At 54.9% G+C, this 14,643-nt stretch overlaps 1 protein-coding gene across 1 annotated transcript, besides 2 other annotated features; it reads left to right on the top strand.

Moving 5' to 3' along the window:
• The first annotated feature begins 221 nt into the window (after window positions 1-221).
• On the top strand, window positions 222-2,637 carry TMEM271 (transmembrane protein 271). Its single transcript, NM_001362796.2, has one exon. It carries the CDS (start codon window positions 455-457, stop codon window positions 1,610-1,612), a length of 1,158 nt encoding a protein of 385 aa, NP_001349725.1. The 5' UTR covers window positions 222-454; the 3' UTR covers window positions 1,613-2,637.
• Window positions 874-1,567: an enhancer, noted in NCBI's record as "H3K4me1 hESC enhancer chr4:568739-569432 (GRCh37/hg19 assembly coordinates)". NCBI's record gives its function as "activates a minimal SCP1, AML or CMV promoter by ChIP-STARR-seq in naive H9 embryonic stem cells {active_cell/tissue: H9 hESC(naive)}" and the evidence as "EXISTENCE:reporter gene assay evidence [ECO:0000049][PMID:30033119]".
• Window positions 1,940-2,029: an enhancer, noted in NCBI's record as "active region_21129". NCBI's record gives its function as "activates an Ori minimal core promoter by ATAC-STARR-seq in GM12878 lymphoblastoid cells {active_cell/tissue: GM12878}" and the evidence as "EXISTENCE:reporter gene assay evidence [ECO:0000049][PMID:35858748]".
• Window positions 2,638-14,643: the final 12,006 nt, after the last annotated feature.

Here is a 14,643-nt window from a genome sequence, read left to right as displayed (position 1 = left end):
GGGCGCGGATAGGGAGGGAAGGCGGAGAGACGCGGCCAGGGGCCCCCGCTCCGGGAGGAGGAAGCGGAGGGGCGTCCCGGGGGTGGCGGGGGCTGCCGGGGGCGGGGAAGGGCGGCGCCAGGGCGAGGCGCGCGGGGCCGCGGGCGGGGTGGGGGGTTGGGGGGGAACGAGCCTCCTGGGAGGGGCCCCGCGGGCTGGGGAGGGGGCGCGCGCCCTGCGGTCTCTGCGCCGCATCGGTTCCCGGCGCGGGGTCGCGGCGGCGGCGGCGGCGGCGGCGGCGGCGGGAGGCGGAGGATGCGGGCTCCGGCGGCGGCGGCGCGGGCCCGGGAGGACGCGGGAGGATGAGGAGGAGGCCGGCGGTCCGGCCGCGCGGCGCCGGGAGGAGGCGCAGGCGGCGGGGGCGGCGGCGGGCGGCGGCGGGCGCGCGGGGTGCGGGCCGGCTCGGGCGCGGAGGATGAAGTGGAGCGTCCGCGGGGCCTGCGCCGCGCTCTCCTCCTGCCTCCTGCTCGCCTGCGCGCTCAGCGCCGCCGCCGTCGGCCTCAAGTGCTTCTCGTTGGGCTCGGAGCTGCGCGGGGAGCCGTTCCGCCTGGGGGCCGCCGCCGGCGCCTTCTACTCCGGGCTGCTGCTGGCCGCCGGCCTCTCACTGCTCGGCGCCGCCCTGCTCTGCTGCGGACCCCGGGACGCGCCCCTCGCGGGGTCGGAACCGGGCCCGGGTTTGGGGGTCCCCGCGGCGCCGGCAGGCGCTCCCGAGGCCACGCCGGGCGAGTCGGGGGCCGCGGCCGGGGCCCCGGGGCCGGTGAGCAGCCAGAACCTGCTTCTGCTCGGCGTCCTGGTCTTCATGCTCGGGGTCCTCAGCGCATTCGCGGGCGCCGTGATCGACGGCGACACCGTGTCCCTGGTGGAGCGCAAGTACTCGCACTACTGCCTGCCCCCGCGGGCGCCAGGTTCGAGCCCCGGCTCGGCCCCGGGCTCAACCCCCGGCTCGGCCCCGGGCTCGGCCCCCGGCTCGGCGCCGGGCTCGGCCCCCGGCGCCCCGCGCGCTCGCAGCACCCTGGACAGCGCCACGTCCGCCAAGTGCCGCCAGCTGAAGGACTACCAGCGCGGCCTGGTGCTCTCCACCGTCTTCAACTCGCTTGAGTGCCTGCTGGGCCTGCTCAGCCTCCTGCTCGTCAAGAACTACAAGTCGTCGCAGGCCCGGCGCGGTCGGCGCGGCAGGCGGAGGGGAGGCCGGGCCCTGGCGCGGCCCCGCGGCGGCTCCGGGCTCCGCGCGCAGCCGCCCGCCTCTCGGGCGCGCCGGGGCCGGCGGGGCCGGCGGGGGCGGCGGCTGCAGCAGCGGCCGAGCGAGGCCTCCATCCTGTCCCCGGAGGAGTCGGACCTGGCCGCCCCCGGGGACTGCGCGGGCTTCGCGGCGCACCACGCGGTCTCCTACATCAACGTAGGCGTCCTCCACGCGCTGGACGAGGCGGGCGCGGAGGTGCGCTGCGGGGGGCACCCGTCGGTGGAGCTGCCGGGGTACGCGCCCTCGGACCCCGACCTCAACGCCTCCTACCCCTACTGCTGCCGGCCGCCCTGCGAGACGCCGCGGCCCTGGGAGACCCATCGGGCCTGCTGATCCCGCGGGCCGGACCCCCATCCCGCGGACCGCGCTTGCGTTCCACCCACCCCGCCCCGCTCAGGACCCCCGCGGCAAGGGAGGACGGGCAGCGGGGCGGGGTCCAGGGCCAGGCCTCAGGGGCGCCGCCTCTTCCACGTGGCTTTGCAGCCTCCGGCCTGGCCCCCTCTGCGGGCTCCGTGACCACAGGAGGGGGCCCCTGATGTGACCATTTCTGTATCTGGGAGGTTTCTCTTCTTATTTGTGTCGTTCATATCTGGATTCCATTTTCAAGTTTACAATAAATGTTTGGGCTTGGCTAGCCCGACTGCACTTTTCTTGGCAAGTCCAAACCCTGGGGCTGCTCTGCCTGGTGGTCCGAGGCGAGGGGGACAGAGCGAGCGCCCCAGGACGGCGACTTCCCACGGAGGAAGAGCAGACAGAGACGCAGAGCAGCTGGTAATTCAGAAAGAAGAAGTGAGAACACCCAACAGCAACACTTTGTACACGGATGTGCCTGCTTTTGTTGATACTTTCTTACTGTAAAGCTCTCCATAAATAGTGAAAATGTTTGGTAAATTTATTGCAATTTAAAATTGGTGAGTTCCTTTATTAAATTAATTGCTATGTTATTGGAGAATATTCATCAAATTGGAATTAGAGGATGTCTACGCACAAGTCAGTGTGGGGGGAAATGGTTTCATTTGGTCGGACAAATGTTGAGTTTGAACAGTTGTATTCTGCTAGCTAGTTGACTGAATCCAGCCTCTTTCTAAAGCTAACTTTCTGTGTGTGTAGAGACCCTGATGCCACATCCCATACATTTCTTTTTTCTTTTCTTTTTTTTTTTTTGGAAACTGGTTGTGTGGTTTCGACTGCAAAGCAGATCTTATTTTTGATTAATACATATGAACAATTTAATCCTATTTCGGAAAATCAGTCATAGTTTTTCTGGCATAGATAATTTTCCTGTTGATTATTTCATTAATCTGGTAATTTTGAGTATGATAGCATTTCATTTCAAATATACCCCGTAATCGCCTTAATTGATGTGAAGGTCATACTTTTAAATGATGAGGCTATGTGTGTGTGTGTTTTCACACATGATATGAAATGAGTTCCATATGCTCGTGGAGTGTGTTTCCATCTGTCTGCTGGGCTGGCTGGGAGCCAGTCCGGCTCCAAGTCTTGGGAAAAGGTGATCGGACTCCCACATGCTGGAATTGTGGCATCAGGCTGGTAGCTGCTGACCCTGAGCAGCTGGGAGCAGAGCCACAGCCTGGTGGGAAAGATGAGTACCTCCTGCCGTGGGACTGGGGAGGCAGCCAGTGCTCTGCGGGGTGAGTGCCAGCACAGAGCAGTTAGGAGAGAGAAGCTACAGAAACCACGTGTAATATCTGTATTGTGTATGGAAGTCTACTTATAGCTGTGAAAAAGTAGCCAAATTTAAGGATGGAGCATAGTTTTCAGGTGCAGGCTCTGGAGTGAGGCCTCTCCTCAGCTCCTAGTTGCCCAAAGCTGGAGCTCCCTATACCCCTGGTGACCAAGGCCCCCATCCCTGCTGGCTTCTGGCTGGGCTTCCCTGCTACTGCAGAGGCCACAAGAGGCAGGAGGCTCCAGCCCCATTTCCATGATGGGAAGTGAAACCTGTCACCATTCAGGGGGCTGATCTCCAGAGCTGGCAAACCTTCCCCTGCTGATGCCTGCTCAGTTACTGCGAAGCTTGGGGATCTGGTCAAAGATGCCATGGGCCAGTGTCCTCTCCTTGCTATGTGGATGCTGCTGGAGGACAAAGAATCACAGCCAATTTACTAGGTTTTCATCCACAGGCTTCTTCAGATAGTGGCTCATAATAGGCCTCCCTGAATGGTGGAGTGAGAAAGGGGGTCCAGCCAGACAGAGGGCATGACCTGACTGGTCCCACTGTCCATTTACAGCCCAGTCCTTTCCTGCCCCAGGACAACCAGCCCAGCAGTCATCAACCTAAGCAAAAATGTGATCGCTGGCAGAGCAGTGTGACTTTTAAGATACTTCCTTCTGTCTGCTCACATCCAATCAGCGTGGCATTGTCAGGTGCCTCCTGCTTTCCGAGCAGAGGCCTCTCAGGTGGCTGCAAGGCCAGCCTCCCAGAACTACGCAACAGGGGCAGCCAGGTGGACCTGCCCGGGGGTGGGCACTTGGTGGCTCCCTGCAGAAGGCTGCCTGGCACTGCCCTGGCTGGAGCAAATGCATGGGCAGTGCAGATGCAAAAAGCCAAATTTCTTGTGTGCTTTTTGTTTTCCGAAGTGTTTAGTTTTAATTTTGTTTGTACAGCTTAAAATGTTAGATGCCTTATGAGTCTTTCAAACTTGTGATCAAAATCGGCGACCTCTTTAGAGTGTCAGGCTTTTCTTGGGACAGAACAGAAGGCAGAAGATAGGGGCAGAGGCCCATGGCCAGGAGTAGGCTTCACACCGTCCTATCACTGTGGACACACCCTCCTATCCCTGCATGCACACCGTCCTGTCCCCGCGGGCACACCGTCCTGTCCCTGTGTGTGTGCACACCCTCCTGTCCCTGCACGCACACCCTCCTGTCCCCGCATACACACCGTCCTATCCCTCTGCATACACACCCTCCTTCCCTGCGTGCACACCCTCGTGTCCCTGAGCACACATCCTCTTGTCCCTGCACGCACACCCTCCTGTACCTTCGGGCACACTCTCCCGTCCCTGCTCGCACATCCTCCTGTCCCTATGGGCACATCCTCCTGTACCTGCGTGCGCACCCATCCTGTCGCCCGTTTGCACACCCGTCCTGTCCCCACTTGCACACCCCTCGTGTCCCTGCTTGCACCCCCTTCCTGTCCCTGTGTGCACACCCTCCTATTCCTGCGGGCACACTCGTCCTGTCGCCTGCAAGCACACCTGTCCTGTCCCTGCGTGCACACCCTCCTGTCCCTGTGTACACCTCCCTGGCCGGGGTGGCAGGATAATCTAGGGGTGCACAGAGACCTAGCTGGGGCAAACTGGCCTCTTCCGTGTGACCAGAAAGTTAGATGAGTAGTTTTAAGATTGAGTGTCCCTAACTCCGGGAGTATTCTTACCTCCACTGTCATAGGTGTTCATGTACTAATGTGGAATATCAAGGTGGTTTTTTTTTTGTTTGTTTGTTTGTTTTTTTTAAGTTTACCAGAGGAAATAGAATCCCACATACCTCTAAACTCAAATTGCCCCAAAGATCAATTCTCAGGGAAATGAGTGGAGCATCACGAAGACATCAATCTTCCTTCCTAGTTACCACTGACTTGCTAGTTACTGCTCTAGCTGAATAATGAGGTTACCCAACTCACGGCAGCAATTTTATTCATGCTCATTCTACCTTTTTAAAACCTGAAGTTGGTGGTTGAGAGTGGGTTCTTTGTTGTGCTACTTGCAAAATAATGCCAGTTCTTGGGTCTTTCTCTCCCTTTCTTTCTTTCTTTCTTTCTTTCTTTCCTTCTTTCTCTTTTTTTTTCTTTGTTGTTGTTGTTGAGATGGAGTCTCACTCTTGTTGCCCAGGCTGGAGTGCAATGGCGCAATCTTGGCTCACCGCAACCTCTGCCTCCTGGGTTCAAGCGATTCTCCTGCCTCAGCCTTCCGAATAGCTGGGATTACAGGCATGTGCCACGATGCCCAGCTAACTTTGTATTTTTACTAGAGATGGGGTTTCTCCATATTGGTCAGGCTGGTCTCGAACTCCCGACCTCAGGTGATCTGCCCGCCTCGGCCTCCCAAAGTGCTGGGATTACAGGAGTGAGCCACCGCGCCCAGCCAGTTCTTGGACCTTTCTAAAAATGAGTCTTATTCTGCTTCCCTGCCAAGAGTTTATTACGACGATGAGATAAAAAATTAAACACATTTTAGCATTTTTACATGGCAAAATGCTGAGTTTGTAAGTTACTGTTTTAAACGCAAAGCTGTGATTCGGCTCAGCAGTAGGAGCTCACAGCTCACGTGGCTGGCTAGGCATCGACTTTAAGGGATAACTTACCAGAGGTGACACATGATGCTGTGCAGAACTGGGCAGCACGGTCACCAAGCAAGCCAGGGTCTTAGGTATCTGAAGTTCCACACCTTTCCTTGGTCGGAGCGGGTGCTGTGGCCTTGGCAACATGAATTTGAACCACATAACTGAGATTTTTGACTGAAAACGCAATTAAACAATAATTTAATTCTAAAAATCAGTCAGATGGTTTTTTATTGTGAAGATCAAACTGCAGGTGATTGAAGTTTTTACTCCTGCTTGGTGTCCTGAGGCACTGCAGGAGGAAGCCTTGAATGTGTGTATGCATATATGTATATATGAACACGTGCTCACATGTGTACACATGTACACAGAGTACACCTGCACATACACATACGTGTATATGTGAACCTGTGCTCACATGCTTGCACACACAGTACACCTACATCCACACATGGGTGCATGCTCACGCGTGTGCAGGTATGCATATGTGTGTATATGGACACGTGCTCACACACGTGCACACGCACACAGTACACCTACACATACACACATGGGTGCACACTTGTACATGCACACACATGGCCTCCTGGGTAGTGTCTGAGGGCCAGGCCAGCAGCCCTGCACGGAGCATCCAGGGTGCAGGAGGAATCCGTGCAGGGCATTGTGGCCTGGCTGTGGACTGGGTCATGCTGTCCTGGCCGCCCTTGCCACAGCATCTTAGCATAAGCACTCAGGAAGTATGTCCCTGGGAGGGCGCCCTGTCAGTGCTGAGCTGCATGCAGGTTCCCTGAATGCTGTGTCATGTCCGTGTTGGGGCAGGCTAGTGGGGCAGCCATCACCTGTGGGCCAGCACAGCAAGGTGGAGCCGTTTCGGGAGAGCGCTGGAGTTCGGGTGAGCAGTGAGGGGAGGGGCGGAGAGGCAGATGTGCCAGGAGGAGTTCCTAGGCCCCAAGGCAGGTCCATGGTGTTCAGGCACTGCTACACTTGACTCTGGTGCTGACCGGGCCGGCACCCCCATGTGTCACCCTCAGGCCCAGCTCTTCTGCTGAGCAGCATGGTGTCCTTCAGTGCCCCTCAAAGTCATCATTACTCCAAAGCATTATTTTTTTCACTAAAATACAAGAGAAAATTTCTAAATGGTAGAGACCTTAAGAAAAGTGAATTCTGGCATGCAAATAAGTATGCATTGTTTGTGTACCTATGTACCAGCCTTTTCAAATGAGGCAGAGGCAGCGGCCTGATGGCAGCGGGTTCGGTTTCTCAGTGGCCCTATGCCTTTGCTTAACTTGCTGCCTTCCAGCATGTGATAGAAAGACAGCAACAAAATGGAAGAAGAAAATAATTTAGGAAACTAGTGTGCAAATATCATTATGTCCCCACAACTGAATTCTCCTGAGGACTCCTTGGGGTGACAGCAGAAAGCCAGAGGGCTCCATGACGGAGCCTGGTCCATAGCAGCTTTCTTAAAACCTCCACGTTTACCAGAGAATCCACCTATTCATGTGGATTTCACATGGAGAGGCTTCAGCTGATACGAACTACATTTTGCCTTCTATCTGCTATTGATCCTCAATAGAATATCACTTTTGGATCAGTAAAAGCTGTTTTAAAATACAATATACTCCACAAAACAATCCTTCACCCCACCTGTGTGGTCATCGTCCTGTTTCTGGTAGACTATATGGTAGCAAGTGGCCAGACCACCCGGGGTGCGCTGAGAGCAGGGGGGCTCTTTGCCCCCCACCATGGGCTTGGCAGCGGCTTTGGGCAGCCCCAGCCCACACTTCCAATGGCACCTGGAGGGCTGTGCACCTCCACTGCCCTCCTCCCATCCTCCAGGGCCTGAGTTCAGCCTCTGTGCACCTGCTGTGGCCCCACCACGTTTTGCTAGTTCCCTTTTACACTGTCTGAACATCATTGCCTGATCTCTTTTCTTCATCTCCATTTTTTTTTGAGATGGAGTCTTGCTCTGTTGCCCAGGCTGGAGTGCAATGGCATGATCTCTGCTGACTGCAACCTCCACCTCCCAGGTTCAAGCAATTCTTGTGCCTCAGCCTCCCGAGTAGCTGGGATTACAGGCGCCTGCCACCATGCCCGGCTAATTTTTGTATTTTCAGTAGAGACAAGGTTTCACCATGTTGGCCAGGCTGGTCTCAAACTTCTGACCTCAGGTGATCCACCCACCTCGGCTTCCCAAAGTGCTGGGATTACAGATGTGAGCCACCGCACCTGGCCTTCACCTCCATTCTTGATGCAACATTTTCATAGAACTCAGATCAGATCAGGTTACCCTAACCTTCAAGAGCTGTGCTTTTTCTGAAGAAGGAAAGTAAAACCTTGCGGGCTCTCAGGCCAACTTTTCAGCCTTTGCTTCAGGCACCTGGGAGCCAGGGAGGAAGTGGTAAGGGGGTCCTGCCTCGTGGGTACCTGGGAAAATGGGTGTGACCACTGAAGCTGGTGGTCCCTGGGCAAACACTGGGGGCATGAGGGGTGTGGTGGGGACAGCCCTGTGGAAGAGGGGATCCCTGAGATGGGCCTGGCCTTCTGGGACTGAGAAGGGGGATGAGGGATGGGACTGGACAGGTGGATGGGGACAGCAGGAAGGTGCTGAGGCTGAGGCCAAGGCCAGACGCACTTTGAGGGGATCATGTGTCTTTCTTGGAAGGTGACATGCACTGGGGAGGCAGGTGACTGACTGGAGGTGAATGCAGGGAGGCTGGGAAAGGGAACACAGCCAGTGCAGGCAGGACTTGTGGGAATGATGGAACAGTGGCAGCCACATGGCAGCCGACAAGTCCGTGGCTCCAGTGCTCATGCCGTTGACCTGGTCTGTCCTCGCAAGGCCCGTGTTGCCTTATTTACAGAAGAGGAGACAGAGCTGCAAAGGGACTTACCCAAAGCATGTGTTCAGGTCCTCTGGCCTCCCAGCCCCACCCTGCACCAGACACAGCTGGCCCTCAGGGGAAGCAGGACCACAGGCCCAGCCTCATCCCCACCTGGTCGTGCATTTCTGTGCATTTTACAATAGTAGGACACTCTCAACTCTTTTCCTCAGAGGAGCATCCAGATGCTGTAAATGTCTGGTCCACACAGCTGCGCCTGACTCCTCCTCCTGGGTCTGGGCTTGCAGGCTCTGCAGCTTGGTAAAGGGGCATTAGATGCTTTCTCAAGGGGCTCCCAGAGGCCACACAGGACCATGCGTCATCCCCTCCCCAGGGGCTTGGGAAAGAGACATCAGAAAGACAGAAGACAGTGCAGTGCCTGCACGCCTGCATCTTCAGCCTGCTGCCAGCCCCAGTGTCTCTCCCCCAGGAGTGGCAAAGCCTCACACCATAAGCCTGGGAGAGGCTCCTTTGGGGCAGTCAGGTTGCCTGTGAGTATTTCTCCACAACTGGCCAAGTACCCAGCAGTGTTGGGCAGGACATAAACTAGGCAGGAGGCCCTGTCCTCCAGGCCCACCAAGAACTCCCCAGGCCCCTCAGGTCACAGACAGCTTCACTCACCAGGCCTTGCTGTAGTCATCCTCAGCCACACACTGCACTCCAGCTCCAAGACCTGCCTGGGCACCATGTCCAGCCTCTAAGCCCTCCTAGGCTGTCCCTCCACGCACAGCATCATTTTCTGCCTTTTTATCTGGAAAATGCCAACATTTTATTCAACGTAAGGCCTGAGAGTAGCCTCCCCATGGAGTTGTCTGGACCTCATGTGCACACATTCCCCTGCACAGGAGCCTGTAGCAACCAGACCAGCCACTCCCTGAGAGGGAGAAGTGCCTAAGCTCCCAGCCTAACCCCTGGTCAGCCCCTGAGCTTCTGAAGGCAGGACTAGAATCCTCTTAACCTTCTATCAACAGAACCAGCCATGCACATAAGATGCAGGTCATAGGATGCAGGGGGTAGGATGTACATGGTGGGACACAGGTGCTAAGATGTACCTGGCAAGATGCAGGTAGTGGGAGGTACAAGGCAAGATGCAGGTGGTGGATACATGTTGTAGGATGCAGGTGGTTAGATGCAGGGGTGGGATGCAGGGGGTGGGATGCAGTGGGTGAGACACAGTGGGTGGGATTCGGGGGCTGAGATGCAGGGGATGGGATGCAGGGGTGGGATACAGGAGGTGGGAGGCAGGTGGTGGGATGCAGGGGTGGGATGCAGGGGTGGGATGCAGGGGTGGGATGAAGGGGGTGGGATGCAGGGGTGGGATGAAGGGGTGGGATGCAGGGGTGGGATGTAGGGGGTGGGATGCAGGGGGTGGGATGCAGGGGTGGGATGCAGGGGATGAGATACAGGGGTCAGATGCAGGGGGTGGGTGCAGGTGCTGAGTGTAGTTGGTGGGGTGCAGTTGATGTTATGCAGGTTGTGGGTGCAGCTGGTGGCTGCTAGCTTTTGTTGTAAGGATGGGTGGGATGGACAGACCAGCTCTTACAAGGTAAGAGCTTTCTAAGAGCTCTCGATTGCCTCGTGAACTTGGAGACTTTCAACACTGGTACTGCCTTCTCGTATTCATTCACTGAGGGCACTAAGGAGGCACCTACTGTGTATAGACCCAGCTTTGTTAGGTGACGAATGACAACCTGGTCTGGCACAGGAGACTAACTTCGGCTCCTGCCGTTGTTGCAAATGTGCTTAATGCCCCAGTCCAGCACCCAGGTGATAGGATGGCAGGAAATGGGGGATGATCCAGGGAGGGTGGGGATTCTAGGGAGGAGTGCGTGCACACCTGGGTACCAGACCGCGGCAGGTATAAAGGCAGTGAGGGGACAGAGCCCTGGCAGAGGAAGGGGAGAACCTCTGAGGGATGAGATGCCTCCAAGGGTCACTGAAGCTGCACGGAGGAGAGGGAGGTGGAGGGTCCAAGAGATTTGTAGGAGCAAAAATGACTGTGATGTTGATTGGACAAGGCAGTGAGGACGTGTCAGGTGTCTGGGGTGACGTGATGGAACTAGAAGCAAGAATCACAACAACTCAGGGTTCCATACCAACTCAGGGCTCCATACCAACTCAGGACTCCATACCAACTCAAGGTTCCATACCAACTCAGGGTTCCATACCAACAACTCAGGGTTCCATACCAACTCAGGACTCCATACCAACTCAGGGTTCCATACCAACTCAGGGCTCCATACCAACTCAGGGTTCCATACCAACTCAGGGCTCCATACCAACAACTCAGGGCTCCATACCAACAACTCAGGGTTCCATACCAACTCAGGGCTCCATACCAACAACTCAGGGTTCCATACCAACTCAGAGTTCCATACCAACTCAGGGCTCCATACTAACTCAGGGTTCCATACCAACTCAAGGTTCCATACCAACAACTCAGGGTTCCATACCAACTTAGGGTTCCATACCAACTCAGAGTTCCATACCAACTCAAAGCTCCATACCAACGCAGGGTTCCATACCAACTCAGGGTTCCATACCAACAACTCAGGGTTCCATACCAACTCAGGGTTCCATACCAACAACTCAGGGTTCCATACCAACTCAGGACTCCATACCAACTCAGTGCTCCATATCAACTCAGGGTTCCATACCAACTCAGGGCTCCATACCAACAACTCAGGGTTCCATACCAATTCAGGGCTCCATACCAACTCAGGACTCCATACCAACTCAGGGCTCCATACCAACTCAGGGTCCCATACCAACTCAGGGCTCCATACCAACAACTCAGGGTTCCATACCAACTCAGGGCTCCATACCAACTCAGGACTCCATACCAACTCAGGGTTCCATACCAACTCAGGGTTCCATACCAACAACTCAGGGTTCCATACCAACTCAGGGTTCCATACCAACTCAGGGTTCCATACCAACAACTCAGGGTTCCAAACCAACTCAGGGTTCCATACCAACTCAGGGTTCCATAGCAACAACTCAGGGTTCCATACCAACTCAGGACTCCATACCAACTCAGTGCTCCATATCAACTCAGGGTTCCATACCAACTCAGGGCTCCATAGCAACTCAGGGTTCCATTCCAACTTAGGGCTCCATACCAACAACTCAGGGTTCCATACCAACTCAGGACTCCATACCAACTCAGTGCTCCATATCAACTCAGGGTTCCATACCAACTCAGGGTTCCATACCAACTCACGGTTCCACACCAACTCAGGGTTCCATACCAACAACTCAGGGTTCCATACCAACTCAGGACTCCATACCAACTCAGTGCTCCATATCAACTCAGGGTTCCATACCAACTCAGGGCTCCATACCAACTCAGGGTTCCATACCAACCCAGGGCTCCATACCAACTCAGGGCTCCATAGCAACTCAGGGCTCCATATCAACTCAGGGCTCCATACCAACAACTCAGGGTTCCATACCAACTCACAGCTCCATACCAACAACTCAGGGTTCCACACCAACTCACGGTTCCATACCAACTCAGAGTTCCATACCAACTCAAGGCTACATACCAACTCAGAGTTCCATACCAACTCAAGGCTACATACCAACTCAGGGCTCCATACCAAAAACTCAGGGTCCCATACCAACTCAGGGTTCCATACCAATTCAGAGTTCCATACCAAATAAAGGCTCCATAGCAACTGAGGGCTCCATACCAACTCAGGGTTCCATACCAACTCAGGGTTCCATACCAACTCAGTGCTCCATACCAACTCAGGACTCCATACCAACTCAGGACTCCATACCAACTCAGGGTTCCATACCAACTCAGGGCTCCATACCAACAACTCAGGGTTTCATACCAACTCAGGGCTCCATACCAACTCAGGACTCCATACCAACTCAGGGTTCCATACCAACAACTCAGGGTTCCATACCAACTCAGGGTTCCATACCAACAACTCAGGGTTCCATACCAACAACTCAGGGTTCCATACCAACTCAGGGTTCCATAGCAACAACTCAGGGTTCCATACCAACTCAGGACTCCATACCAACTCAGTGCTCCATATCAACTCAGGGTTCCATACCAACTCAGGGCTCCATACCAACTCAGGGTTCCATACCAACCCAGGGCTCCATACCAACTCAGGGTTCCATAGCAACTCAGGGCTCCATATCAACTCAGGGCTCCATACCAACAACTCAGGGTTCCATACCAACTCAGGGCTCCATACCAACAACTCAGGGTTCCACACCAACTCAGGGTTCCATACCAACTCAGAGTTCCATACCAACTCAAGGCTACATACCAACTCAGAGTTCCATACCAACTCAAGGCTACATACCAACTCAGGGTTCCATACCAACACAGGGCTCCATACCAAAAACTCAGGGTCCCATACCAACTCAGGGTTCCATACCAATTCAGAGTTCCATACCAAATAAAGGCTCCATAGCAACTGAGGGCTCCATACCAACTCAGGGTTCCATACCAACTCAGGGTTCCATACCAACTCAGTGCTCCATACCAACTCAGAGTTCCATACCAACTCAAGGTTCCATATCAACTCAGGATTCCATACCAACTCAGGGCTCCATACCAACTCAGAGTTCCATATCAACTCAGGGCTCCATACCAACTGAAGGTTCCATACCAACTCAGAGTTCCATACCAACTCAGTGCTCCATACTAACTCAGAGTTCCATATCAACAACTCAGGGCTCCATACCAAGTCAGGACTCCATACCAACTCAGGGTTCCATATCAACTCAGGACTCCATACCAACTCAGGGCTCCATACCAACTCAGAGTTCCATACCAACAACTCAGGGTTCCACACCAACAACTCAGGGCTCCATAACAACTCAGAGTTCCATACCAACTCAGGGCTCCATACCAACTCAGGGCTCCATACCAACTCAGAGTTCCATACCAACAACTCAGGGTTCCATACCAACAACTCAGGGCTCCATACCAACTCAGAGTTCCATACCAACTCAGGACTCCATACCAACTCAAGGTTCCATACCAACTCAGGACTCCATACCAACTCAGGACTCCATACCAACTCAGGGCTCCATACCAACTCAGGACTCCATACCAACTCAGGGTTCCATACCAACTCAGGGCTCCATACCAACTCAGGGTTCCATACCAACTCAGGGCTCCATACCAACTCAGGGTTCCACACCAACAACTCAAGTTTCCATACCAACTCAGGACTCCATACCAACTCAGGACTCCATACCAACTCAGGGTTCCATACCAACTCAGGGCTCCATACCAACGACTCAGGGTTCCATACCAACTCAGGACTCCGTAACAACTCAGGACTCCATACCAACTCAAGGTTCCATACCAACTCAGGGTTCCATACCAACAACTCAGGGTTCCACACCAACTGAGGGCTCCATACCAACTCAGGGTTCCATACCAACAACTCAGGGTTCCATACCAACTCAGGGTTCCATACCAACTCAGGGCTCCATACCAACTCAGGACTCCATACCAACTCAGGGCTCCATACCAACTCAAGGTTCCATACCAACTCAGGATTCCATACCAACTCAGGGTTCCATACCAACTCAGGGCTCCATAGCAACTCAGGACTCCATACCAACTCAGGGCTCCATACCAACTCAAGTTTCCATACCAACTCAGAGTTCCATACCAACTCAGGGCTCCGTACCAACTCAGGACTCCATACCAACTCAGCATTCCATCCCAACTCAGGGTTCCATACCAACAACTCAGGGCTCCATACCACCCCAGGGTTCCATACCAACAACTCAGGGTTCCATACCCACTCAGGGCTCTGCACTCCATCAGGGGCCTGGAGTATCTTCAGGGGCCTGTACTACCTCAGGGGTTCGTATTGCTTTAGGGCCTGGCACTGCCTCAGGGATCTGTTCTGCCTCAGGGGTCTGTACTGCCTCAGAGGCCTAGACATTTTAGGACCTGTATTAATTTCCTGGGGCGCTGTAACAAACTACCACACCCTGGGTGTCTTAGAACAGTAACTATGGATTCTCAGCTGGAAGTCCAAGATCATGGCGTCAGCCAGGCTGGCCCCTTCTAGAGGCTCTGAGGGAGAATCTGTCCCAGGCCTCTGGCTCCTGATGGCTGTTGGCACCCTGGGCTTCCATGGCTTGTAGCCACATTGTGCCAGCCTCTGCTGCCTTCATGGGGGCTCTCTGCCG

This window comes from Homo sapiens, chromosome 4 (genome assembly GCF_000001405.40).
Source record: "Homo sapiens chromosome 4, GRCh38.p14 Primary Assembly".
Classification (NCBI taxonomy): Eukaryota; Metazoa; Chordata; class Mammalia; order Primates; family Hominidae; genus Homo; species Homo sapiens.
The sequence above is the reverse complement of the archived record's forward strand: the minus strand, read 5'-3'. Positions and strand labels throughout refer to the sequence as shown.